Here is a 27,838-nt window from a genome sequence, read left to right on the forward strand (position 1 = left end):
AAGCCATCCTCCAGCCTCAGCCTCCTAAAGTGTTGGGATTACAGGTGTAAGCCCCCAAGCCTGGCCCAAACGTTTATCAAAACATCTACTGTGTTTCAGACAATGCGCAAGACACTGGGCTTATGAAAGTGAGACAGCCCCCACACTTGAAGCCCTTATAATCCAGTGGAGTATGATTTATTTGGAAGTTAGAAATTTTAAGACAGTCATCAGTATTACACACAGAAACAAACATGTGATTCAAGAATGCTGTCTACAATACTCCAATTTTCATTTATGAATTTTCAATAGGCTACAATTATTCCACCATATTCTTGAAGAACATTTTCATCCTAACTTTTTTGTGCTTGTGGGTGGTGTTAATTGTGGCATATGCAAAAACTTTATCACTTTTCGATTATGAACAGATGTAAATGACTTACTTGATGTTTTATTTTAGAATAACAAGCATCTTCTAAAATAAGTCTCCACCCAAAAAGCTGGGGCTATCATTACGGAAGAGACTTAACACTCTGAAACTGAACCTTGACATGCTCTTCAACACCTCAAAAGTTACTCCACATCTCTGTACTCCAATTTCTTCATCTGTCACAAAGATATAATATTCTTGGAAGACTCTTTGGGGTGCTTACAAGAAAAACATCATTAGTGAAAAGTTCTGTTAAAAATGCAGATTGCTTTCACCTTTTGCCAGGGACTACCTATTACTGTGGACATTAAAACAAAGTGACCCATCTAAATGAGTGCAACATTTTGGCAAGTTTATGGTGGTTGAAACATGATTTGGTTTTCCAACTTCTCCCCACTTGGCTTCATTTCAATCTGCGGAGTATATCAAGTGAGAATGCTTCTGCGCCTTCATACTGCCCCACAGAGGGAGTGGCCACACTAAGCAAGCCTATATTCAATTACTTTCCCCACTTTATACCTTTCTTACACTTTTCCCATATGACACTTTCATAACCATATTTAGCTTTCTTCCTACCATCTCCCTGTAATTCAAAACGCAATTTAGATTCCCATATGGTTGCCATCGAAGCTAACAGATGTCTAGCAAATTAAAACAAAAATTATGACTTATAAACTGCTGATGTATCATCATTCCAGAACATCTTGCAATTTATAGTGAATCATAAGATAAAGCTTCCTACTTGATGCCCCCCCTCCCCCACCGCCCCAAGGTTTCCTGAGTCTCCCTCCTCTCTGAATTAAGCCCTGTGGAAGCAAATTAGAGGCAAGATCCTGCCATCAACCCTGGATAAACTTGCACTTAAAGACACAAGGTAATATCTGAAAGCATATCAAAAGAGAAAGTTGGCCTCAAGTAACTGAGGCTTTTCTAATCCTTTGTAGCAAAGAAAACAGAAAAATGACTTGGTTCTCCCAAATCATTCCACCGTTTCCATTGAGTTCTTTCCTAACAAGTCACTATAAAATCTATTGAATCCATTTGCCTCATCTTCTTGGCAGATCTTAAGGGTATTATCATTACCTAGTAGTAATGATGCCAAAGTACTAGACTAAGGCATTCTAGAAGTTCTATAGCCCTGTATGGAACCAGTATAAAATCTGGAGACAACAACAGTAATGATATTCACTATTTGTTAAATATTGAGATATTATGCCGAATAAAACATTATCTCACTGAATCTTTAAAACTACAACACCATTAATGTTATCTTTCCTTTATAAACAAGAAATTAAGGCTCAGTGCCTTAATACAGTAGACTATATTTTTCAAAGATGGCCACAACCTACATGACTTTCTGCAATGTGACCTTGACACTTCTCCATCAAAAGGTGGCTTCTAATTCTTCACCCTTTGAAATTCAGCAGTCTGCATGAGTGCTCTAACCAATGGAATAGATAAAAGTGGCACTGCCAGTTCTAAGTGGAACCTTAACTGGCTGGAAGCTTCTTTAAGACTTAGAGACAGGAAGAAGCCACGTGTAGGTAGGTGCTCCAGTGACAACTCTGGCTAAGCTCCCAGCAAGCATCAGCTTCCAGTCATATGAGTATACCATCTCAGGCATCCTGCCCAGAGGGCCTTCCGGTAAGTCCAACTCCAACTACATCTCACCACAACTGTATGAGACCCCAAGTGAGAACTGTCCAGATGAGCCTGGCCAAATCACAGAACTGTGAACTATAATAATAAACAACTGTGTTTTAAACAACTAAGCTTGGAGGTTATGTAGCAATAAATAACCAGAATATTGAGATCAATTTACTTGCCTGGGAACAGTTAAGTATCCAGAATCCAAAACAGTTAAAAGCCAGAATCCAAAAGGGCAAAACATCTATTAATGATGAGTGATGGGATGTGGTGTTCGGTACCCCAAAGAAATGACTTTAAAACAAAATCCTCTTTCTTCTCCCTCCCCCAAACCCAAAGCAGTCTCAGGGTTTTCTGAGAAATGTCCCAGTACGGTGACACCCTCAATAAAATCAATTCCCTTCTGTCTTGAATTGTTCCAATATATAACAGAGGAAACAAGTTTTCCCCCACCAGCCTGTGATAACTAATGAGAAAGGAATCTGTACAAGATGTTGACTTTGTTACTCAGAATGTCATTACAACTGTTATATAAAAGGATTCAGATTTTATACATGAAGCTGTAATTCTAATAATAAAAATATATTTAATGACTCACAGGACTACATTTGAGATTCACAGTGGGGAGAGAGAAGCACGGACACTATACCAGGAACTGAACAAGCCAAGAAGAAATTAGTGAAAGGTTTTTTGTTTTGCTTTGTTTTGTTTTTTTTGAGACGGAGTCTTGCTCTGTTGCCAGGCTGGAGTACAGTGGTGTGATCTTGCCTCACTGCAATCTCCACCTCCCGGGTTCAAGTGATTCCCCTGCCTCAGCCTCCCGAGTAGCTGGGACTACAGGCACCCGCCAACACACCTGGCTAGTTTTTTGTATTTCAGTAGGGACAGAGTTTCACCATGTTGGCCAGGATGGTCTTGATTTCCTGAACTTGTGATCCGTCCACCTCAGCCTCCCAAAGTGCTGGGATCGCAGGCGTGAGCCACCGCGCCCAGCCTTGGTTTTTTTTTGTTTTTGTTTTTTGTTTTTTGTTTGTTTGTTTTTTATGAAAGGATCTTTGAGGAAGAAATGAAAGTAATAAAACTAGTCTTCAGACAAGTCTCCCTAACAGAAAATGTCTATAATTTATCACGTGTCCTGGTATATACTACTTCTGTTATAAATTAGTGGCCAAACTCTTCTATTTTTCTTCTCCAGCATATTGGAACTCAAGAAACTCATTCTGTGTAAGAACTAGAAAGAACGTTATAACTCATCCACCTCCTTCAATTTAACAGCTGAGAAACTGAGGCCCAGGCAGTTAACTGATGAAGAGCCAAACTGCTGATCAGGAAAAGAACCAAGCTCTCAGTGCTGGTGCCACCATATGTTCAATTTTATTTTACCAGAACTATACCTTTGAATGTCACCAGTGTATGTCAAATGTAGTCTAGCAGTTCAGTGTGAAAATGAAAATTAGGAAACCATGCTGTTGGCAATCTCTTCTTCATAATTGTATGGGAGTAGCACCGAGTCTGCTGTTTTTGGCAATCACAGACAGGTTGGTGACTCTGTAGAGAGCAGAGGTGTGTAACTTTTCAGAAGCAAGCTGCCAAGCTACTGACCCCAGCTTTTCAGTCACTAACATCTTAGTCTGAATTACTTTAACCAAAACCATATGGTTGCCTTTCTGTTGATCATCACTAGAGACCATGGTACAATAAAGCAGGAAATTTAAATATGGGGTAATTTTGAGGCAGAGAGCAGGATAGGAAAGGTATGAGGGAGTATCTGAGAGGAAGGCTTTGGGCACAGAGAGGAGAGGAAGGGAAGGCAAGAGGCAGGGTAAGTGAAGGGCCCTCATAAGGAAGGCACTCACTTAACAATTCTGCCTGGGGCAGCTAGTTTAGTCCCATAGCCTAGGTCTCCTTTCAGGCTTCCCATACTCACCCACCCACCTATGAAGACCTTCACAATCAGAAAACATGCGGCTCTGTTCTGGACCTCTCCAAGCAAGCACTCTGCAATTCTTTGAAGCTCTCTACAATTCCAGGGGTTTTGCTGCAACCTAATCCATAGAAAGGGCTAAATTTGTCTCTATGCACTCCACAGAATTACAGCAAACTGTCAGGGAAACAGACCCAAATCCTTTTATTTCCTTACCACCCCCTGCTAGGAAACGGCAGAGAAAGTCCCTGGGTGCTTTTTGTTGCTGGGTAGCTAAAATGTGCAACTTTTAGAAATGTTCAAGTAGAAACAAGAGGCCTGAACTCACTACCCCAAAAAGAACCAGTCCCAGTTCGGTAGTCCGTGCCTCTCCAAGTCACAAAGTTTCAAGTTCCAATCAAATCAGAATATCTTACTCAAAACCGTGGCTACCCACCACTTTTAAACATTTTCACAAATGGAGAAGGGGCAAAGAAAGAAAATAATTCCTTCTTCCTGTACTTGTAGCAGTGTTTAATTGCAGGGAGGTGGGTGACTGCTCCCGGGAATCATGCACAACACTGGCAAAAAACTGCCTGTGGAATGATCGGATATGACATCCATTCATGTGTCCCCTCATTATCTTTATTAGTCCTGAAGACAGATGACATGCTGACACGGAAAGTGGTCTCCAATCCCTTGCATTTCCCCTCACAAAACATACATGACCAATGCAAGGTATTATAATAGAAAACAGAAAATAAAATAACCTGGTAAGAGTGCGGTACAAAAAAAGAATATGAAGAGCCGTATTGACAACTATTCTCACAGATGTATATACGTACAGCAAACAGCCCAAATTAAAGGAGAATTCAAATAAATACATTCCGTGTTCAGACTGCTGTGGATAATTATTGATCCTGCAGTTGGAGCATTGTTTACCTCACACTGAACAGCAACTTAGAGAACCCCCTACCCAGACAGCCACCATCTTTACTTTCTATGGAAATGCGGGTGCCCACTGAGGAAGAGGATGAGATGGGATGAGAAGGGGAAGAAAAATAACATGGTCTTTGAACCAACGTTTTCCCCTTGTCCTGGAGAACTCTTTGTCTGGCTGCTGAACACGTTTGCCAGATCAAGGAAAAGAATCAAAACAAACAAACAAACAAAAAGAGTAGGCGTCCCAGCCTAATTACAATAGGTTCCCAACACATTGCAGTCCCAAGCAGAGCATCATTTGAATCTTGTGTTAAAGCATTTGCTCTCTCGGTTCCCCAATAAAACATGCCTCGCACACCTTCTCCTTTGCATTTCTACAAAGGTTCCCCCAAACGGCCCGCTCTGTGTCACTCCTTTAAAAATGAGGACGTGGGGCAGGAACACACTGAAATATATGTTGACGGTGACTTATTATCCTGACGATGATATATACATACAAATAAATCCCTCTACCCCGCACCCCCACTGACCAGTCCATTACGCACAGGGAGCGCTTTCCAGCTGAAGAGGAGAGCGTGCAGGAAACGTTATTTACGTGCAATTACAGGACCATATACCACGGCATCTGCATCCTACACAAAGCCCGAGATGGTGCAAGAAGATACACGCTGAGCATGGCACAGACCAGCCGCGGCAACACGGAGCCAAGCCCTCGTCCAATCAGATCGTTGTTAGAAGGTGGACCTCAGGGTCGGCCGTGCCCGATTAGCCTTCCCTATTATGACACCACGCTCTGCCCAACATCTATATCCCACCGAGAGCAAATCCAATTCGTGTGGTTGCTCATTTCTCAAACTGCCGAACCCTTTCTTTTATCTGCATCCCTGCTATTCGTTCCTCAAAAAGCCACCAGAAGGCCTCGGTGCCCCCTTTCCGCCTCGATTTCTCTTTTCACCTCTTCCCATTCCTCGAAAGGATTAAATGTTTATCTCTCCAACGCGCAAGCTGGAAAGGCGGAAGGCGAATGCCTCTATGCTGCTCCGGCAAGCGCCTGCGGGGCTGCGAAAAGTAAAGGCAACGAACAACGTGGGGGAAATCGTCGCGAATCGATCGGCCACAATAGTTGGAATCCCAGGAGCGCTCCAACTTACCCAAAATATGACATTGAAGCCAAATATGAAGTATTTGATGCAACAACTGACTTCAGGACCCTTGTAGTGCTTCCCGGACATCCTCTGGGTTCATGAAGACACTTGCCCCGGCAGCCCGAGTTTGGAGCTCCGAAGCACCGTTGCTCGGAGCAGCCCGGCGGGGAGCAGGAGCTCAGGGACACCGCACGGGGCCGCGGCGCTGGCGGCCTGGGCTCAGCCGCGCGGGGACCGACCGGCGGAGAGCGGCTCCCGCACCTCCAGCCCCTCGCGCGCCGAGGCCGCCGGAGCCGGGGTGGCCGCGAGAAAGCAGGGAAGCCGCGCGCTGCAAGCTCAAGCCTCGCCGACGCTAGCCCCGAACACAAAGCGAGCGCCCGCGTCCGTGCGCCAGGCGGTCGGTCCGTCGGTTCGTCCCCGGGCTTCGGGCAAAGGCGGCCGCGGCAGATGCTGGTGGAGACGCCGCTCGCTTGCTCGCCCGCCCGTTCGCGCGCGCCCTCCCACCCCTCGCTCCGCCCGCCTCTCGCTCCGCCCGCCCGGCCGGCTGCTCCTCCGCCCGCGCCGCCCGCAGCTCCGCCCGCCGCCCAAGCCTTGGCTAGGCGCGCGCGCGCACGGGGTCGGGCGCTCCCGGGCGGCGGTGGCACCACGTAGCCGCCTCCTTCCACCGCTCGCTTTATCCCCGCCCCTTCTCGGGCCAACCCCAAGCGCCGCTGACCCCGAACGTCGCTGCGGGGTAGGTAGGGGGTGGGAGGGTGGAGGACCGCAGGCGAGAGGGAGAAGGAAGGGCGCCCGGGGAGCAGGCTGGCAGAGTGACCGGGATTGATGAGCGGCGCAGCTCTGGAGGGACGCGGGCGAGAGGGTCGCTCCTCGGGGAGAGGGCTGGGTGAGTGAGGACCTGCGAGCCACCCCCGACACCCCTTCCAGGGTAGCCACACTGGCGCCCCCTCCTCCACAACAGGCTTATGTGGCTAGAGAAGATGCGATGCCACTGGACAGGGAAGGAAAGTCGTCGTGGACTTCGCTGAATGGAAAAGGGGGTAGTTGGGGAAGGTGGAGAAAAGAGCCACGGGAAGTGGGAGGAAAGGATGAAGGGATGGGACGTTGAAAAGGAAAGCTTCCTGAATCCCTGTGTGACTCTAACCCAACCTCCCCACCTACCGGAGAAATGGGTTTTATCCTAGAAATGGGGACGAGGAAAAAGAGATGGCTCAAGGGAGTCCTGGCCCGGGATGCGATCCTCGCCCTAGGGTCTATTGCAACCACACAAACCCGGACAGCGCACGCTCCCCCCTACCCCGACAGAATAGTGCCTAAGAAACCTGCTTGCCTCCTAACTCTAGGAAGGAATCCACAACGGATTCCAGGGAGGTCTTCTGGGGAATCTGAATTGGGTTTTTGGATCACGAACCATTAAGCTTTTGAACTCTGGGGAAGAATAGAACAGGTGGCTGGAAATTGTTTTAGAACCCTACCTGAGCAGGTGTGCTCATTAGTTGCTTATCCGCCCTCCTCCTGGAGCACTTTCATAGGTGTTGGCAAAGCAGGTACCAGTATTTCACGGAAGGAGAAGGAAGAACCGCCCAGGACTGTGTATAAATGTCTATGGGAATATTTTTAAGGATTCAAAAGGCTAGAAGGAGGTGAGATCAAAAAATTTTTCCAGCACCACCCAGTGCAACCCGATCCTGGACACAGAAATCTAAAAGATGATACTTAAATACTTGAGTTTGAGAGCCTCTAGTTATAAGGTTTCCTACGTAACAACCTCTCACTTTTCTCAAAAACTGGCTAGTTGACAACCGGCAGTCAAGTTTTGGCTAGTCAAGAAGCTACTTTTTCCTGCAATAAACCACATTTAGAGATAGTACTGGGCTTCAGCAGGATTGAGGCTATATTGAGGTCGCAAGTATGAACGAGGTACCCACAGAGATGGGAGGGCCAGGAGATCCTACTCATTCAGTACCTCAGAAGCTATGACACGGGATAACAGTAGCTTCAGCCCTTTGGATGAAATAATCCTCACTCCCTCAAAAGTGCTCTCTACCCACTCAAAACACAGGCCATACTACCACCAATCTGGTAGACTTCAAAAGTAAGGTCTTTCAGCAGCAGATTTCCTTGTTAACAGGAAGGTACTGACAAGCTTTACCTAAGCCTATTGGAGCTATGTTGTAATTCTGTATATAAATAGAACAGTCGCTGCAGGAATACTGGATGAGTCAGAAGAAAGGTCTGTCCTAAGCTGATGTGACACATTTCAAAAGGACCAGAAATTAGATGCAATTGATGACTGAGTTGATCTCTAAGTGGATTTATCTTTGAAATAAAAATCAGTGGATATCCCATATACCCGACCCCACACCCTCCCCCATTGTCAACATCCCCAACCAAAGTAGCACATTTGCTACAAATAGTGAACCTACATTGCCAGATCATTATCACCCAAAGTCCATAGTTTACATTAGGGTTCACTCTTGGGGCTGTATATTCTATAGGGTTGGACAAATATAGAATAACATGAACCCACCCTCATAGTATCATAGTATCATACAGAGTATTTTCACTGCCCTAAAAGTCCTCTGTACACCACCTATTTATCCCTTCCTCCCCCCAGTCTCTGGCAGCCACTGAAGTTTGACTGTATCCCTGTCTCCTTAGTTTTGCCTTTTCCGGAATGCCATATATAAGGAATCATACAGTATGCAGTCTTTCTTTCAATTTTGCTGTGAAACTAAAACTGCTAAGAAAATAAAGTCTTAAAAAGAAAAATCAATGGAGAAGGGAAAGGTAAGATAACTAATCAGTAATTTGGAGGGGGGGGTGGAAAAACTAATTGAATTATCTCATTTCGTATATCCAAAATAAGTTCTATGAGGATTAAGGAGTTAAATATATTTTAAAGCAGACCAGAAGGAAAAATATTTGTCAAACCTCTGTATAGAAGTATTTCTCAACTTAGAGGCAATAGAAGGAAATAATCAATGGATATGATTGGGTAATATCTTAAACACTTCTACGTGTCCAGCTTTTTTTAGTGTAAGCTAAACCAGAAAAAAAATTGGCAGCAAACATGAAAAATAAAAACCTGAATGTCTATATTATAAGTAGGGCTCATAGAGCTATAGTAAAATATAGAATCGCAGTGGTTGAGTATAAACAGAAAATAAATCATATAAGAAATAAAATATATGGGGAAATTAATCTAGTAATAAATGAAGTATACATTAAAACTAATAAAGATACAAAAATAATGAGCACTGGTTAGCACATACATTGTTGGTGTCCTTATGAAATAATATGTCCATTTGGAAAGCATTTTGGCTGTATATATCAGGTCAGAGTGCTCCTACATTTTGACTCAGCAGTCCCTCTTCTGGGAATCTACCCAAAGAAATACCCCAGCAGATGGAAAAAGTTATACACTGCAAGATGTATATCATAGCATTATTTATATTGAAGACTTGGCCAGAAATTAAAGATCAAAGAGTAGGGGTGATATCCAATTCCTTGTAGTTACTTGGACCACAATGTTCCTTCACATTCTGTGCCTCTGCACATGTCATTTAGAGTTTCTGCCTGGGGCATTCTCCTTGTCTCTTGTCTGTGAGCTGATTTCTCTTATTCTTCACTACTTTTGTTCAATGTCTCGGAGGCTCCTTCTTTATTCCCTCAACACCCGCTGTGTTCTTCCATCCCGGCACTTAAAGGCTGCCTGTAAGAACTTGTTTACCTACCTGTCTCCTCAATCTGCTGTGACTCCTTCTAGGGTGTGACCTAACCCTTGGTAATCTTAGAATCACCAGAGCTCTGCAGATATGGCAGGTGCTTGATAAATATTTATTAAAGGAATGAATGAGTCATTTGCTCACAGTTTTTACAGCTCTTGAAGATACTGCTTATAGAGTATGTGGCAATATATGGATACATTATAATGTTAAATTTTAAAGGCACTATATATGGAATTATCTCCAAGTAATATTGTTAAATTTTAAAAACAAGGAACAAAAACAGTGTACACAGTAGGCTATCATTTTGTGAAAAGATAAGCTCTGTTGGCAAAAGAATATCCATACACATATTTCCTTGTTAATGGGTAGGCTATCTATGGAAGAAAACGAAATAAACTGGTAACAGCGAGTTAGGGTGGAATGGGGGGCAAACTGGGGGACTAAAGATACTGATAGGAAGGAGACATGTTTTATTTTTAAATAACCCCTTTAGTCTGTTTTTGAAATTTGTACCATGTATATGATACACGTTTTGAAAAATAAAGCAGTCTACAAAACGGTATGCAGTTGTATGAAAAAAAGTTAGGAGTTAATTTTTGCCAAATAAGAACAGTTATAAGGCTGGGTGATTTTGTTTTCATGTTTCTGGTTTGCAATTTTTAAGTGTGGTTAAATTGCTTTTACAATTAAGAAGATAAAATTATACATAAAGATGTAAGAAAGTAACTAAGTAATCATATTTATTTCACGCAACTCCTTCACAACTCAATAAATGCTGATCTATTTTAAGGAGAAAAGGAGAAAAATTTTCTGTCTGAATACTGCTAAGGCCACCTCCCTTATAACTCTGAGGTTGAAAAATGGTTAATAAGTTTAACTACTGACAAGTTAATCAGCTCTTCAAGTGGCAGTGAAAACAGGTAAAGCGTGTTCTTCTAATAGTTGCCTGGCTGAGGAGCAAGATATGACAACAGCGTTTTAACCTAAGACACCAAACTTAACGAGCTTGTCTGTCTCCACCTGTGCTTTATTGTTCCTGCCCACCTTCCTGCCTCCCTCCTCTTGGGCTCTGTCATTGTCTGCCTCTCTGCTCCTCTCTGTTTTTCTTTTGCTTCTCTGTAGCCGCCCTGCTGGTTGCCTCCACACCCCTCCTGCCGCCTTCCTCTCAGAACCCTAGCAGCTGTGTTCAGCGTCCCCCTCTTAAAGCAGCCACATGCTCTGGGAAGACTGGCCCTCTGCGTCACATCTGGCAGTCCCATTCCTCTTGCTAATGTGTGGTTCAGGAATGGGCAGGTGGCCCAATTCTGGTCAACAAGCCATGAGAAGAATCTGCTAGAGGTTTCCTTGCATCTAAGAAATGGTCTCTTTCGCCCTTGGACTTGGTTGGGTTTGGATGTGATGCCTCGATCCTCTACAGCCTGATGACAAAGACCACACCAAGGATGGCAGAGTGGAAGGATAAAAAGAACCAGGGCCTTCCAGCCTTTGTTGTATGGCTGACTTAACCAACCTTGAAGGTGGCCTTACTCACGACTTCCTGTCAGATGAGACAAATTTCTTGGTTAAGATACTTTGACAGGGGTTTTCCGTTTCATACAACTGAAAGTATCCTGACTTAAACACCTTTTGAGGTTCTGCCCCAAGCCTTTATTGATTTTCTCCTCTTGAATCACCACCAGCATTTCTGCATTTCTCTTAGTACCACGTTTTTTCTATTCCCCACACCCACCACCCCCTCTCTTCCCTAGCTGTTTCTGTCTCAAACAATACAGGGAAACATTTTAGGGTGTCTGACAGATCACACCCACCCCTTTCTCAGACCTTCTCAACCACAAGGTGCTCTCCCACCTCCAGCGAGGTTTGTACTTCACAGTTGATGGGGTCCCGGTAGATTCAGGCTGGGCCAACCTGAGAGTCTGTCTCAGTAACAAAGGGAACCCTGCGCCCAGCTGAAGTGCAGGCAATGTTTACCCGAAAGCTGGGGGTGGGTCCGCATTTCCAGGAGGAAGCCAAGACTCTCCCTCATCCTCTGCAGAAAGAGGAAGGAAGCCTAAACAGAGAAAAACAGTAGCAGAGTCTGACAGCCTGGGTGCTGTGTATGGTTGTGCATTTTGTGCTCTGAAAGGCTCCCATCCCTGCTAAAGGCCTGCTTCTAGATTTAAAGAGGACTCTGTCTTTGAGGTCTATGAGATTTTTAGATGGAATCATTCATCACATCCCATTTGGGCTTTAGATACTTTGAAGTGAGTATCTCAAATTTTCAAATCAAAGAACCCTGATTAAAACAAAAGGTCTTCTCACCTCAAATCCTTTATGAAATGAGGTCAACTTAAAATACTTTTTAGTTAGCTATGATATAAAATTAAACTATATTTTTGTTATAGTTAATGAATTAATATTGTATCTTCTGTTCCTTAGTCGAAAAGTGAGCAGTTAAATGGTCTATTTCTCTAACAAAACAATTAACTGATTCCTCAGGATTTACCGCCCACTGTGACCCTCTTGCCCTGTGCCCACACATACCTACTAAAGACCAGTTTTCAGATCCCCAGGAATAACATAAAATGGGGCATATCTGTCTCGTAAATATGATTGAATAAGCATATGTAGAGCACAGTTGTTTCACTTTTAAGAATCAATTATAATCATTTGTACAATAAAATGAATTATGTCTTTCACACAATATGACAGAGCAGTAATTGATTTTTTTTTTTAATTCGGCCATTCCATCTTCTTCTGGCACCTCAACTTCCTGCTGCTTTGGAGATAGCTAGACCTGTGTGGATCAAGGCATTAGGCCCTGATGTTACCTTACCAGGGGCCAAGCACATGACACAAGTTCAGCCAATTAGAAGCTTACTTCCTGATACTGAGCAGAGCAAAGAAAGAGACCAAAAGCCACCTGGAGTTCATTTCTTGCAGCCCCTGGACAAGCCTGAAGCTGCCCTTGAGACCTTTGGGAGCCTCCTGATTCTTCTGCCTTCCCTCTGGTCCCATAAGCTAGCTGTCAGGTTCTAACTGATGTCCGAGTTCCCATAAGCTAGCTGCCAGGTTCTAATTGAGATCCAACGGGAATCAGTGGATGAGTGGTGGGTAGCTGGAAAAACACTAAAGGAATCATAGACAGTTTTGACATGGCTTTACCCTCTCTTTGGGTGTGAGCAAGCCATATGTACAGCATTAGCAGGGTAATTATACCTTTTACAGACAGTAGTGGCTCCAAGCCCAGCACAAGCTCACATGGGTGATCACCTAATGTGCCTCACATGGCTTGGTTACATAATGTGCGGAGCTATGCGCCTGCGCTCCAAACCCATTGAGTTATGCTGTGCCGGAAGCCTGCCTCAGCCTACTCCTGACTAAAGCACAGCCATTTCCCTTACACTCCACCCCCTAGGCCTAGGGCATCCTCCAGGCAGGCACATGTGCCCATAGGGCAGAGCCCTGAATCCATAACCCACAACAACAATACAGAAAGCAACACCTCACTACTAGGATCCCAGCTATGCCACTTATGACTATTAGGGCCCAGTGTAGGCCAGAGCCTAGGGATGCCCACCATCTCCACAGGGGATCATCAGTAAGGCTCTCAACTGCGTTAATCTGCCATGAGACCCCTTGCAGGGCTGCTGTTATGTTCTACCGATTGTCAGGAATAAAGGTACAACATTGTGTTCCTAAAAGTGCACAGGTGCCTCCTTGGGCAGCAGTTTCTATGTCTAAGGCTATTTGATTTTGCAATACCACCTTTCTAATCTGATCAACCTCATTGGTTAACAGGAGGGGGGCCACTCAAGTGTAATTCAGAGCCCAAGTGGTGTGCTGTGCAAGAGTGGTAACTTGTGCTTCTACGGTTATGACACCCACTCCAGGGATAGTCACTGCCAAGAGGCAGAACCACCAGGGGACTCGTCGCACTTGCACAAACCGAGAACATAGCACCTCCCAGTTAAGTGAGCTATCTGGGCAACTTGGGGAGAACATTGGCAGGTAAGGCCACCCCCAGGTGCAATGTCCAGTCCAGTTCACTGGTAGCTAAGGCCACCCTGTGTCCCCACAGACCCATAAACTCCCAGGGGACACAAAATCCATTGGGGCCCAACCTTGGTGAGGCCGCTCGTTCCATCATACCTTCAGTGTGGTGACATGTATTATGTTTGCACAGGCCATGATGGGTACCCATCCCACAGGGGTGTTGCCCCAATGTGGCTCTATGTACCACAGTACCTGGGCTTGGGGTACTGCATGTTCCCCCGCTAGCCAGCCCCACCCATCATAAACACTACAGGCCAGCCAGGGGGCGGGTGTGCTGTGGGTCTTACAGCATCCTTTTTCAAAGCTTGCCATGTTGCCTCACAGACATCAGCCATGGGACCCCAGGTCTCCAGCCATGTCCAGTTCTCTGCAGATACTGAATGTATGTGCCAAGGCAAGCCATCTGCAGCTGCTGTTGGAAGGGCAGTGCAGATCCAACAGATGGAAACTTGGTCACCTCAGCGTAGGTGTGGGCCCAGTCCAAATGCAGTTAGAGCATGTTAACCTACAGTTGAAATGACAGAGCAGGTACAGGTACTAACAGAGGTAAATCATATCCCTCAGGCAAAATACAGGCTAATCTTTCATCCCTGGATAACAATGCAGCCACCAAGGGCTTTTGCTCTGGGTGATGGTACCACACCTCAACTCCCCATGGTTCCTTTGAGTCCTGTATCTGTGCCAAAGTCACAGGAGAGCTCATAATAGGCCAAACAGACAGTACACATGTCCCCCAGAGGAGAGTTCCTTCCCTGGCTGTTCCCGCTGTAGGGGCCATGTATTGAACACCCAAGGAGTGATATACGAGTCATACTGTAGGCCCTCCCCCCAGGGAGCTCCGATGGCCAACCACCAGCAGTGGGGGGCTTGGAGGGTCCATGGCCACAGCCAGGTTTTCTGTTCCCCTGCCATCAGGGGTGTTGGGGCAGACAACAACAGGTTACCTTTCATCCCCATACCTGGTTGAAGGAGGTCATCCTTGGTATGTATCTGCAACTGCATGGGGGTGGTGGCTTAGTGTAACAAAGCCTCCACCAGGGCTGGGCCACCTTTCCATGGCTGTTCATTCAAGGTTTGGAGCGCCAGGTCCAGCCTGGAACTCCAGCCCCGCAAAGACGGTGGTATAACATGCAAGCGTAACCCATTTTTCAACAGTCCGTTATATTGCTCAGTCATACCCGCAGCTTGTGGTTTGTATGGCACGTGGAATCCCCACTTTATGTCCATTTGTTGTGTCCATTGTTGTACCTGTTGTCCAGTGAAATGTGTTCCCCTATCACTCTCAATGGACAGAGGGCAACCATACAGGGCATGTAAGTGTTGCAATGCCCCGATGATGTGCTGTTGGTCAGCCACCCTGCAAGGGTAGGCAAACAACAGGCCTGTGTCCTTGTCCATAGCTGTTAATGAATGCATATACTCTTGTGACTTCAGCAGCAGCCTGATGTAGTCTACCAGCCATCTGGTCAAGGGCACTGAAGCCTCCACCTTCTGGGCTCAAGCAATTCTCCTGTCTCGGCCTCCCAAGTCCTGGGATTACAGGCCTGTGCCACCATACCCGGCTAATTTTGTATTTTTAGTAGAGATGGGGTTTCACCATGTTGACCAGGCTGGTCTCGAACTCCTGACCTCAGGTGATCCACCCGCCTTGGCCTCCCAAAGTGCTGGGATTACAGGCGTGAGCCACCATGCCTGGCCTGTTTCATTCTTGTAGGGCAAAAGTACTTGCATGTTCCCTTACATTCCTACCTCCAAACAATTTCAGAATGCCATGCCCCAGTCCACAAACTCCACCCTTCCATCTGTCACCAAAATCTAAGTATTTTGCAGAGTTAAGCATAATTCAACCCCTTATGAAATCTGCCCCATTTAACACTGGGCATGCTAATCATATCCAATAATTTCTCCTGTCACCGTTTGGTTTCTTTTACCTTCTAAAAGCTTTACTTCTGTGATATATGCCTTTCTGATGGAACTATAATTACTGGAACATTGAATTTAATGTCCAGAAACAGGAATAGATATTAGCAGATTAATCAGATATTCATTTAGGTTTTATTATAAAGAATCAATTGATTCAACAACAAAAACTTACACATCTTACACAAAAAAACACATCTCCTGTTAATGCACCTGTTTCCATGGTTCCTGCCCTAAGATTGTACCTGGAAAAAAGTAGACAAACAGGAGTAAGAACATGGGTTAGAATGGTTTCAGTGCTATAGTTCCAACAAAGTGTGATATGTGTATGATAAATATTCAAAATGGGATTGTGAAAAAACACCTCTTCCAATTTATTCTTTTCTATTTTTTTCATTTTTCTTTTCTGTACTAGTAGCATTTACTAAATGCAGTTAGTAGGAATAACAATTAGTTAAATTAACCAAGTCTTAATGCCTTATATCTGAATCATTTATTTGAATGACATCAAGACTGAGAGAATAAGTTTTAAAATTTAAACACAGTGGTGCATCCGCTGTGGAAAACAGTTTGGTGGTTCCTTACAGTATTAACCACAGAATTACTATATGATCCAGCAATTCTGCTCCTAGGTCTATACCCCAAAGAATTGAAGGCAGGGATCCAAACAGATACTTGTGTACCAATGCTCATAGCAGCACAATAGCCAAAAGGTGGAAAGAACCCAAGTGGCCATCAACATATTTCACATTTTGTTTGAACGGATAAACAAAATGTGATATATAGCTACAATGGAATGTTATTCAGCCTTAAAAGGGAACAAGATTCTGATAGTTGCTACAACATGGATAAACCTCAAAAACACTATGCCAAGTGAAATAAACCAGACACAAAGGGACAAATATTGTATGATTCCACTTATATGAGGTACCTGGAGCAGTCAGATTCATGACTGCTGCTTCATGAATCTCACTGCTCTAGGTACCTCATATAAGTGGAATCATGAACCCTCAAATCTAAAATAAAAGAAAATCTAATTGTAAAAATAAATTAAGACATTATTACATATAAAAGGATCTACTTTGCTGAGGAATTTATCCAAGCATCCCTTTAAACAGGCAGCTGCTTCCCTCATAAACTTAATTGTTCACTAATGGATCGTTAACACCCCAACAAAAGCTGTTGAGAGCAGAAACGCTATTTGGATTTAACCTATAAATTAACTTTGAAAAAGTTATGTAATAATTTTACTAATATCTTATCAAGAGAGTCGGGAGGTTATGGGATTGGCTTGGAACCAGTTTCTGGGCTAATTGGAAGGAGGTACAAAGAAGCTTTAGAGAAGCAGCTCAGGAAGCTGGAAGACTGTCCAGCACACAGTCTTGGGCAAGAAATCAGCCCACCTTCACTTCTGTCCTCTTATAGGAGGCACTGGCCCCTCTCAAGCCTCGCATGAGAATTCAACACAGCTGAGGTGAGTTGGGCTGTGGCGGTGAGAGAGCACAGCTGCCTTCCAAGCTGATGACCCGAGTTTTCATTTTAATAGTTCAGCTACCTTTTCTAGTAAACAGTGAACCCTTTGAGGTCAAGGATCAAGTTTTCTTTGTAGCATGCTGCCTTGCAAGTATTTCACACATGCTGGGTGAATAATATTATTTTATAAAAAGTGAATAAATTAATGAATGACTAATAAAAAATGACAACAGAAGGTCCAACAACATGGTTATAAATCAGCTCTGAATTTTTAATATTTAGATCTTTGAGTCATAAAAGTTCAAATGACCCACACGATTTTCCTTAGAAACACTCCTCAAAGCATAAAGTGAGAAAAAATTGTGTTTAAGTTTATTCTATCTTCTGTTACAAAAGGGATGTATTTTCTATTGCTTTTGTAACTCTGCCTTGTACCCAAATGCACCACATTCATAATAAGTACTGTTGACAGAATGAATGACGAGGCAAAAAATAGCTCGCAGTACTTTTCATTTTTTATAAGTGTGGAAAGCATATTAAACCATTTGCTGATTAAAAATATGCGTGTTTTGACTTGCATATGAATCAAATTAACATACATAAATCCAACATCTTCACATCACTAGATTCACAGCCATAACCAATATAATTTTCCATGTTTCTTCAAATTCATCAATTCCAGAGTGACATAATTAAGTTATTAGGCATAAAATACACAGTAATGATTTATAACTGAAAACTAACTTTTGTTTTAATTCAATGATCATTTATCCTCTAAAAGTAAAAACAGTACAAGATCATTGAAAATCTAAGACTTTTTTTAAAAAAAATAAAATAGAGATGGGGTTTCACTATGTTCACCAGGCTGGTCTCATAGAACTCCTGACCTCAAGTGATCCTCCCGCCAAGGCCTCCCAAAGTGCTGGAATTACAGGCATGAGCCACTGCGCCTGGCCGAAAATCTAAGATTTTATGTTGAATTTAGCTCTATAAATACTTACTACCACTAAGGGAAACTAAAGTTTGAGGTATAGAACAAGAACTCTTATCCCTCAGTATGATTAATTCCTATAGATGAAAGTACTATGTTGAATCCTAGCACCTTGCTGAGTTGTATAGCCCCAGAAATGTGCAAGCTTCCTGGTTGCAGTTTCCATAACTTCACCTCCTACCTGCCGCTTTACTCTAGCTGGTCCATCCCCACCTTCTTTTCTCCAAGACTCTGGTTTAGGGCAGGGAAGACTCTCTGGGAACCAGACAAACACTCTGTACACTGTTACACTAACGGATCAGGCCATGGTCCTGGGAGGAAGAACACATCCAAGCTGCAAACCTGGGTCAGACTACACCAGGTCTGGGCCAAGCCAATTAAGAGGGCCCAAGGGCTGTTATTAAAAGACACTCTGTCCCTTCCTCTTAGCTCTGCAGTCCCTTAGGATTCACCACCACCTGGAGCACCTCTCTAGGATCAAGAAAGTAGCCTGAGTAGAATCTCTAGCACCCAGCCTCCCCTTACAGCCTGCTATTGGTATACATCTGACACTATAAATCTGGCACCATATAAATGCCCAGCACTTTGGTCATTGAGTCCTTCTAGAGCTGCTGGCACTGAGCCTATGAGAGCAATAGGCATCTTTCTAGCAGAATGTTTTCTAACCTTGTCTTGTGATGTGAATTCTCCAGGGCTGTTGATATAAACATAGATCCCAGGACCTTTCTCTAAGCATTCATATTTATAGTGGGTCTATTTGGGATCCAGGAATCTGAATGTTTAACAAGTGCCCAGGTAATACTCTTCAGCTGGGAATATTGGAAAATACTGTGTTCAAGCACTCTTCAAAGTGCTCACCCTAGTCTCTTGGTGAGGGGAGTTGCTGTTTGTGGATTTAAACCTTGTCCTCTATGGAGATGATTAAAGTGAGAATGCTGGGAAGTCTATGTAAATCCAAGGCATGCTACCATTACTATGATTACATACCTTTAGCCACAGCCACCAGGACACTAAGCACAGTCTGGGTGAGCCTCTTCTCAATACACAGAGCTAAGTGACTGAGAGCCTAGAAGATGGAGTAGGACAAGGAGTGGCCAAAGGCAGTGGAGAGAGGGAGGAGGAGCAAAGCCTGAAATCTGGAAATCAATGCATATGTATTTCAATCCACAATTGCTTTGGCTGCTGATACAAATCAAAGGAAGAAGGAGGGAGATGCAGGGAAAAAATGTAAACAGCTAGGTAAGTGCAGCATTCTGTTAAACATGAATTTTCAGATATTAAAGAAGGACTATCTTAGCAAAGTTATTCATTTATTTATTGAACTTCCAATTTTAGTTTTTAGTACTGCTGTGTAAATGAATCTGAGTTGGATTCCTCAACTCAACTAGATGCTAAGATAAGCATCCGTATGAAGGGATACTCATGAGTTTTATTGATTGCCACTCTGGGAAAAGATTTCTATCCTGCCAGTTTAGCTGCTGACTTACACCATGAATTACAGAGGGATGTAGTTAGAGCATAGTCCCCTCACAGACACAAATATCAGGACCTTCCCTACAATATGGATGAAGAAAATTTGCAATGATGCCAGAAATGAAAGAAATGAGTATTGTTGCAGGGTGCTAGAAGATAATTTGGAGATAACAACTACTCTCTTCTTCAGACTTGAACAAGAAGTTGTGAGCTAAATAGTAGCCTGCAAAATCACCTGGCATTAATACAAGGAAAACCTTGCTCCATGTCTCCTTAAAAAAAGATGAACACAGTCTCTGTGATTGAAATATGTGCCTGCATAGTAACAAGGCAATGGACTAGCTTTTTATCATCCCATCTAGACCTGTGATTATACAGCGAAATATTAACAATGAATGCAACCTCAGCAAAGGCACATTGTACAAGAAAATAGCATGTATGAGAAAAGAGGTTAAATCTTCTAAATGCAATGATTTAGTAAGAATCCTTCAAGTGTCTGAATAATTTTTTTCTTAAATATAGGAATTTAAAGTTAAGTATCCTCATGTCAGAAATTTATCTTATTCTCTTTAGAAGTTGTGGTTCCTTCTATTGTGACAAACTTTCCCAAAGAATGAGATGCAGCCAGGACAAAGCTTTGGGACAACTAGGGAGTATACTAGATGCCAAAAGTATATTAGGGCCAAATATGCCTCATAGTAGCCTCCCTTGACAGTCACATAAAATATGCAAAAAAGATACTTAACAATTCTCATTTTCAATTATAATGCCTTAGGTCTCATTACTTTTTCCTCAGATCAGTATAAGGAAAAAAGTTTTTCCGTGCTCATCCTGCTGATAAAACTTCAATCACTGAAACTTTCCCTTTAAAACTAACAAGGCTTTTTATCTCCCTCCGTTGGCCAGATAATGATTTTACAGGCCACTCAGAATTACCAGAGAGAGCTGCAACTGGAGCAGCAGAAATAAATGAGATCCCTGTAGATAAACCACATAATTCATGGCAGTCAGGAGTTGCAGCCTCTTCTGTCACTTAACCTTGTACCAAGGCTGCTGTGGGTAATTTGATTCCCTGTGTACCTTTCTCTGTCGGAATGGAGAGTGAATTTTAGGGAGATGTCAGACTGGCAGAAGGGGAGACAACACCCTGTGAAGGAAGGAAAACTGCATAAGGATTTAGGAGATTTAACCGAAATATGCCACCTAAGATCGATTATTTCACTACTCAAAAATCTTAATTTCCTTATCTGAAAGAGAGAAGGTGGCACTGAACCTGTGAGATAGAGATCCTGAGATCTGGAAGGACTCTCTAAAGTCCTTGCTTGGGGCAAGTGGGGAAGTAAGTGGGCTCTGGGCTGTGGTTCTCTCAGAATGATTCTGCTTTGGTCTGTTTACACATCAGGATTTCATGTAAGATTTCATTTTCTGAAAGGTATCCGATGCTAAAGAAAGTTAAAACATCTGTTTCCTTCTAGCTCTACCACCCTCTGATTTTTTTTAACAGCCTATGATAAGAGGAGATGAATGCCTGCTAAAGCGACCAGAAGGCTCTCAGTAAAAAGTATTCACTAGGTATCAATAGAATCTGCAAAACGAAGAGGTGCTTGAAAGATGTGAAAGAGGAAACTTAAAGAGAAACCCAGATGGTACATCTCTCTTCCTGGCTAGGTAAGAGGCTGTCTCACTCTTGCCTTCTCACAGCAAAATTTCTACCCTTTCTCCTGAGGTGCTCAACTCTGGCTGCCCAGCAGATCCCCTGTGGTGGTATTAAATGATAGAAGGGTCTGATCTGCCACTCTGGGGATTCTGACTCAACAGATGTGGTTTTTAAGATCCAGAGGTGGTTTTGACGTGTAACTAGGATTGAGAATTTCTGCCTGGCGTCAGCCCTTCGACCTTTAATAAAACTGCTCTCCTAAAAGACATTGATGGTCGGGCGCGGTGGCTCACGCCTGTAATCCCAGCACTTTGGGAGGCTGAGGCGGGAGGATCACAAAGTCAGGAGATCAAGACCATCCTGGCTAACACGGTGAAACCCCGTCTCTACTAAAAAAAAAAAATATATATATATATATAAAAAATTAGCCGGGCGTAGTGGTGGGCGCCTGTAGTCCCAGCTACTCGGGAGGCTGAGGCAGGAGAATGGCGTGAACCCGGGAGGTGGAGCTTGCAGTGAGCCGAGATCGCGCCACTGCACTCCAGCCTGGGCGAGACTCCATCTCAAAAAAAAAAAAAAAAAAAAAAAAAAGACATTGATCATTGATGACACCCTACAATGTAAGTTATCATTTTTAGGTAGATGACTCCAAATCTAATCCTCTATAAACAACCACATTCTATCCGGGTGTCTCATCAACTTTTTTTCCAACAACCAGTCTTGCCTTCCAAGATCCTCTTATCTGTAGTGGCCCAACACTTCTTCCAGTGACTCAGGCTCCCAGTGACTTGAAGGCATCCACGACTGCCATTCCCCGTGCCCCAGAATCCCATCTGCACAAACATAGTAAACCTACCCTTGTATCTGATCCTAAACCAGGTCCTTGCTTTCCATTCCTCCCGCCACTCTTCAAACCGGGCTCCCTTTATTACTTGATAAATTGTTTACAGTCATGTGATCGGAGTGTCATTCTCCCATCTTTACCCATTATGATCCACCCCAATCTGACTTGTTAGCTCCTTATTCAAAACTGCAATGGCTCCCCGCTGACTATCTTTTAAAAACAAACCCCTTCATCTATCTCTTAGATTTCACAATAGGAACCCAATCTAAGTTTCCAGGCTTATCTTTGATTACATAGCAGCATGAACACAATCCACCATCTAAAGAGCATTACCCTTTCTTCTGTAAACATGTCCTAGGCTTTTTAGATCCTATGCCTTTGCCCTTACTCTTCTCTCCACCTAAAATACCCTCCTCTCCTTTGTAAGCCACCTCCTTCCCAATGGCTCTCCAGCTCTTTCCAAATGAATCTGAATGGCAGTAACACTGTGCTTGACTCTTCCGCAGCAGTCATAACATCCTGTCTTGCAGCATGCTTATCTTCTCTCTCCTCGTTTGCTGAGGTCTTGCTTCTTCAGAGCACTGCCCTGTGAGCCTTGTCGCTGTATGGAAAGAGAGTGGGCTTTGGAGCCAGTGATCCCTGTGTTTAAATTCCAGCTCTACCAACAAACAGCCATTTGAACTGTTAAATTATTTGAACTGTTCAAATTATTTAGCCCTTTCCTGCCTTAGTTTCTCCATCTGTAAAATGGGAATATTAATATCCAATTCCTAGAATTAAGATGAAGTCTGAGATAATGCATGTAAAGTGCCTGACACACACACAAAGGCTTTCAACAAATGGTAGTCCCATTAATAAATGTCAAACAGAGGCTTGACAGGCTTTTATCTATATTGGAAGGTGACACCCCACTAATCCAGCTTGATGGAACCATTTTCTGTAGATATTCACCACCTGGTCCTTCTTACCTGTTAAGAAGATTACAGGGCTATTTTTATTTTTGAGACAATACTCTGAAGCAGAGAAGTAATAGCTTCCTCCCTATTATCTGTCTGTTTGCCAGTAATAATAAGGATTGGTGGTAATAGTGAAATGACAGGTAGACAAGAACAGGAAGAAAGAGCAGCAAGAAAACTCTAAATTAAAATATTCAGCACTTACTGAGAGACATAAAATATCCACAACTGGCTGGGTGTGGTGGCTCACACCTGTAATCCCAGCACTTTGGGAGGCCAAAGCAGACAGATCGCTTGAGCCCAGGAGTTCCAGACCACCCTGGGCAACATGGTGAAACCTCATCTCTACAAAAAATACAAAAATTAACTGGGGGTGGTGGCATGCACCCATAGTCCTGGCTACTCAAGAGGCTAAGGTGGGAAGATCATCTGAGCCTGGGGAGGTCAAGGCAGTGAGCCAAGATTGCACCCCTGCACTCCAGCCTGGCTGACAGAGACCTCGTCTCAAAAAAAAAAAAAAGCTGAAAACCTTCCAAAATAAATATTATCAAGTTGCAAATGTAGTAAATAAAGAAATAATTCACCACAGTCAGCTAGCTTATTTCAGAGAGGTAGAAGTTATCAAATAATAGGAAAGCCATTAACATAATACATCCAATCATTATGTCAAATACAAAAGAATAGACTTGCTTCTATACATGCTTAAAACATATTTGGTAAGAATCAACAGCAATCCCTGATACTATTATTTTAAGAGGAGAAGTAGAAAAAATACTTACTAAATATAAGAAAAAGTATTCGATTAAAACCAATAGCCATCATTATATTTAATAGCAAAACATTAGTTATATTCCCATTAAAATATGCACAAAAAAGGAATATTGTTTAATATAGTTCTGAAAGCTGTGATCAATGCAATAACACATGATACAAAAGATATACTATTAACAAAGAAGAGATAAAATGATACTTATTTTGTGACAGTTATTGTATGACTATAAGTCCAAATAAATAACTTGAAAATTGTTTAAACACAAGGGGCTGAAAGTAAGATAGGCAGAAATCAAAAGCATTCCAATATAATTGTAATAATCAGCTAGAAACTTTTAAATGTATGTATATGTATGTATATATATATATAGTTTACCTTTTCTAAAACAGATTTGAGATGGTTTTAAAAAAAAGCTCATATGGTAGTAAGAAGAAAAAATATATAAAACATCTAGAAGTAGCTTTAATGCATAATGTCTTTCAAATAGTCAAAGAAAAGAACAAAATTTTATTAAGATATATTTATTAAAGTTTGAGAAAATGGAAAAATACACTATGTTCCTGGGCAGAAAGATGTTGATATAAATATTTAAATATTTTCCAAATAATGTAGGTTTAACCAAGACATTCAACAAGTATTTATTGAGCACCCACTGTATACCAAGCAAAATGCTAGGTACTAGGGATACAGTCATGAACAACACAAAGGCTCTGCCCTCCTGGTGTTTCAATTCTTGAGGAGTTGGCACAACAAACAAATAAAGCCTTAATATAGTATAGTGTCAGGTAACGATATGTGCATTGAATAAAAATAAAATAGGGTTAAGGGATAGAGAATGAAAGAAGGGGGATGTGGTCAGGGAAGGTCTTTGAGGGAGTAACATTGGAACAGATACTTGAATAAAGTGTAGGAGAGAGCCGTGTGGCTATCTGGGAGAGCAGTATTTCTTGCAGAGGGAACAGCAAATGCAAAGGCCCCAACATGCTACCAGCCTGATATAGTCTAGAAACTGCAAGAAATGTAGTGTTGCACTGGGCACGGTGGCTCATGCCTGTAATCCCAGCACTTTGGGAGGCCGAGGCGGGAGGATCACCTGAGGTCAGGAGCTCAAGACCAGCCTGACCAATATGGAAAAACCCCGTCTCTACTAAAAATACAAAAAAATTAGCCGGGTATGGTGGTGCATGTCTGTAATCCCAGCTACTCGGGAGGCTGAGGTAGGAGACTCGCTTGAACCTGGGAGGCAGAGGTTGCGGTGAGCCGAGATCACACCACTGCACTCCAGCCTGGGCAGCAAGAGCAAAACTCTATCTCAAAAAAAAAAAAAAAAAAAAAAAAAGAAAAGAAAGAAAAGAAAAGAAATACAGTGTTGCTAAAGCAGAGTGCGTAAAGTGGAGACCTGTGGGAGATGAAGATGGAGGTAATGTGAGGGCAGATTGTGCAGGCCCTTGTAGAACAGGACTTTGGGGTGTAAGTCTTGTGGTAGCTGTTTTGACCAGGTGAGGATGTGATCTAATAAGGTTTTTTTTAAAGAGCTGTCTGGTCTTGATGCTGAGAATAGACAGGGTACAGGTGAGGGGAAAATAGAGCAGTAAGAACAGTTAGGAGGTTATTTCAGTAATTCAGTCTGGAAAAGATGGGCTTGTACTTGTATAGTAGGGGTGGAAAGAACCAGAAGTAGATTTCAGATAGATTTTGGAGATAGACATAAAAGATTTGCTGATGGGTTGGGTATGAAGGGTGGGACCATGGGAGGAATCCAGGTTGGTCCCTTGATTTTTGTCCTGAAGTTACTGGTTAGATCACGGTGCTAATTGCTTCACTGGGGAAGACTGGGAAAGGAGCAGGAGCTGGAGATTGAAACCAGGAGTCTTAACACATGTTAAGTTTGAAATGTCTGTTAGACTCCAAGTGGAAGTGGTGATGTTGAGTAGGCAGTTGCTAAAAGATCATGAAACTCATAGAAACATGTTGGGCCATCAACAGATAGATGGAATGTACAGCCAGAGGATTGGATGAGGTCATCGACGGAGAGAATGCAGAGAGAATCCTGGGGCTCACCAACATGAAGAATTTGGGACAAGAAAGAAGATCCAGCAGAGAAGACTGAAAGAAGGCAACTAATGAAATAGGAGAGAACCTGGAGAGCACAGAGTCTTAGAGGCCAAGAAAGTGGTTTAATATAATCCGTATCAAAGCATTTGTGGTTTATTTTTGTTAACTGACAAAAGGATTCTAAAACATACCTGAAAAGTATAATTCACACCTAGGATAATGGATCATTCTGTCACATTGTTCCTTTTTCACAGCTGATATGAACATGATATTTTCATGACTTTGTAAAATAAAAATGGAATCTTTCTAATTTTTTTAAAAAAACTGCTTACTTATGCAAGCCTTCTGTCTCTCACTGTATAACCCCTCCACTTTTATACGGGTCACACATGTTTCTGTCACTTTCCTGGAGCCCTTGTAGCAAATTAATAACATGTAGCACATGCTTGAAGAAAAATTTGTCTAGGACATTTTGTTTTTGAGATTCATAAATTGACTCTATTTTACATAAGAATCTATTATGCCATAGGAAGCTTATTAAACCCTTGAGCAGGAACAAATTATTCAATAAATGGTGATGAGATGAATGCCTAGAAATACAAAAACTTTGATTTCTCACTTTATTCCACACACCAAAGTGAATTCTAGATTGGTTAAACATTTAAATATTTAAAAATTTAACAGTAGAAACATTTGAAGAAAACATGGATATTTATTTATAAAACTTCTACAAGGGGGAAGTTTTCCTATACTAGAAATAACAGAAAAAACTATAAAGACCAGCAGATCTATAAAAATGAGAAATTCTATACACAAAACAACTATTAGACAAATATTAAAATGGAAAAATGTTTTCCATAAAATGTCAAAGTTAATATAGTTTCTACATAAAGACCTCAGGCAAACAGATACGAAAACTGGTAGGGTCCCTGTTGATAGCTGGCCAATATAATATTTATGAAAGAGATCATTACCCAAAAGAGAAAATTCACCCAGTCAACACATATATGCAAGCATGTTGATCCTTGATAGTAACCAAAGAAACAACACAAAAAAATCGTGCTCATTTTTCACTAATACTATTACTAAAGATTAGTTTTTTTGTTGTTTTGGTTTTGTTTTTGACACAGGGTCTCACTCTGTTACTTAGGCTAGAGTGCAGTGGCACAATCATAGCTCACTGCATTCTTAAATTTCTTGGTTCAAGAGATCTTCCCACCTCAGCCTCCTGAGTAGCTGGGACTACAGGCACATGCCACCACTCCCTGATAATTTAAAACAATGTGGGTTTTTTTGTAGAAATGGGGTCTGCTATGTTGCCCAGGCTGGTCTTGAACTCCTGACCTCAACGAGTCCTCCCACCTCGGCATCCCAAAATGCTGGATTACCAGTGTGAGCCACTGCACCCAGCCCTAAAGATTTGTTTTTAAAAATAATAATATACATCCTTGGGAAAGGTTCAGTTAAGGGGACTCTCTTTTGTACTGATGATATAAATTTAGACAAGCAATTTGAATTTGTATCAAGATCCCTCAAAAAGAAAAGTCTGTATTCAGTGGGTGACTTGGCATCTCCACTTGTAGACTATCTTAAAGAAATATAAAGCTTTTCATAAAAATAAATAAAAATATATATCCCATTATTTATAATTACCTACAAATGGAAATGAAAGTTTTGCAGATACAGTGGACCTGAAATGGTTAAATTAGAAAACAGCCTTTCCTGTTGGAGCCAGAAAATAATTTCTAATAACGTTACAAAGGAAGCTTCACTGCATGCATTCTTTTGCCCAGTGGGGATCTCTTTGTAGCCCTGACCCCAATCAGTAAGTTACTTCGCCCACCAAAAGAAGAAGAATTTAGCTTCCATCCACACAATGTGGGCACAA

The 27,838-nt window shown here is 42.5% G+C and overlaps 1 protein-coding gene and 2 long non-coding RNA genes across 9 annotated transcripts in view, besides 3 other annotated features; 2 read left to right on the forward strand and 1 right to left on the reverse strand.

The window, feature by feature from the left end:
- TSPAN5 (tetraspanin 5) overlaps positions 1-6,518 on the reverse strand; it is a 188,245-nt gene extending 181,727 nt beyond the window's left edge. For 4 of the 7 annotated variants that reach the window (XM_005262680.2, NM_005723.4, XM_047449477.1 and 1 more), the window contains exon 1: positions 6,053-6,518. In XM_005262680.2, the coding sequence (XP_005262737.1) occupies positions 6,053-6,133 (81 nt within the window). In that variant the 5' untranslated portion in view covers positions 6,134-6,518. Of the gene's footprint in view, positions 1-5,446; positions 5,557-6,052 lie in introns of those variants that run through there. The other 3 variants (XM_047449475.1, XM_047449473.1, XM_047449472.1) reach the window with 1 other exon arrangement.
- Positions 1,176-2,375: an enhancer, noted in NCBI's record as "CDK7 strongly-dependent group 2 enhancer chr4:99574420-99575619 (GRCh37/hg19 assembly coordinates)". NCBI's record gives its function as "activates an origin of replication core promoter dependent on BRD2, BRD4, P300/CBP, MED14 and CDK7 cofactors, with strong dependence on CDK7, by STARR-seq in HCT116 cells {active_cell/tissue: HCT116}" and the evidence as "EXISTENCE:reporter gene assay evidence [ECO:0000049][PMID:35650434]".
- Positions 6,083-6,242: a silencer, noted in NCBI's record as "fragment chr4:99579327-99579486 (GRCh37/hg19 assembly coordinates)". NCBI's record gives its function as "represses an EF-1alpha promoter that drives an FKBP-Casp9 reporter gene in an ReSE screen in K562 erythroleukemia cells {active_cell/tissue: K562}" and the evidence as "EXISTENCE:reporter gene assay evidence [ECO:0000049][PMID:32094911]".
- Positions 6,496-6,675: a silencer, noted in NCBI's record as "silent region_15578". NCBI's record gives its function as "represses an Ori minimal core promoter by ATAC-STARR-seq in GM12878 lymphoblastoid cells {active_cell/tissue: GM12878}" and the evidence as "EXISTENCE:reporter gene assay evidence [ECO:0000049][PMID:35858748]".
- LOC112267901 (uncharacterized) lies at positions 6,630-26,555 on the forward strand. Its single transcript, XR_939016.3, has 3 exons — positions 6,630-6,779; positions 21,171-21,334; positions 25,882-26,555. It is a non-coding gene; the product is annotated as an uncharacterized LOC112267901 (long non-coding RNA).
- Positions 6,809-12,458, forward strand: TSPAN5-DT (TSPAN5 divergent transcript). The gene is made up of 3 exons (NR_148380.1): positions 6,809-6,929; positions 8,705-8,833; positions 10,897-12,458. It is a non-coding gene; the product is annotated as a TSPAN5 divergent transcript (long non-coding RNA).
- Positions 26,556-27,838: the final 1,283 nt, after the last annotated feature.

Source organism: Homo sapiens, chromosome 4 (assembly GCF_000001405.40).
Source record: "Homo sapiens chromosome 4, GRCh38.p14 Primary Assembly".
NCBI classification, from domain to species: domain Eukaryota; kingdom Metazoa; phylum Chordata; class Mammalia; order Primates; family Hominidae; genus Homo; species Homo sapiens.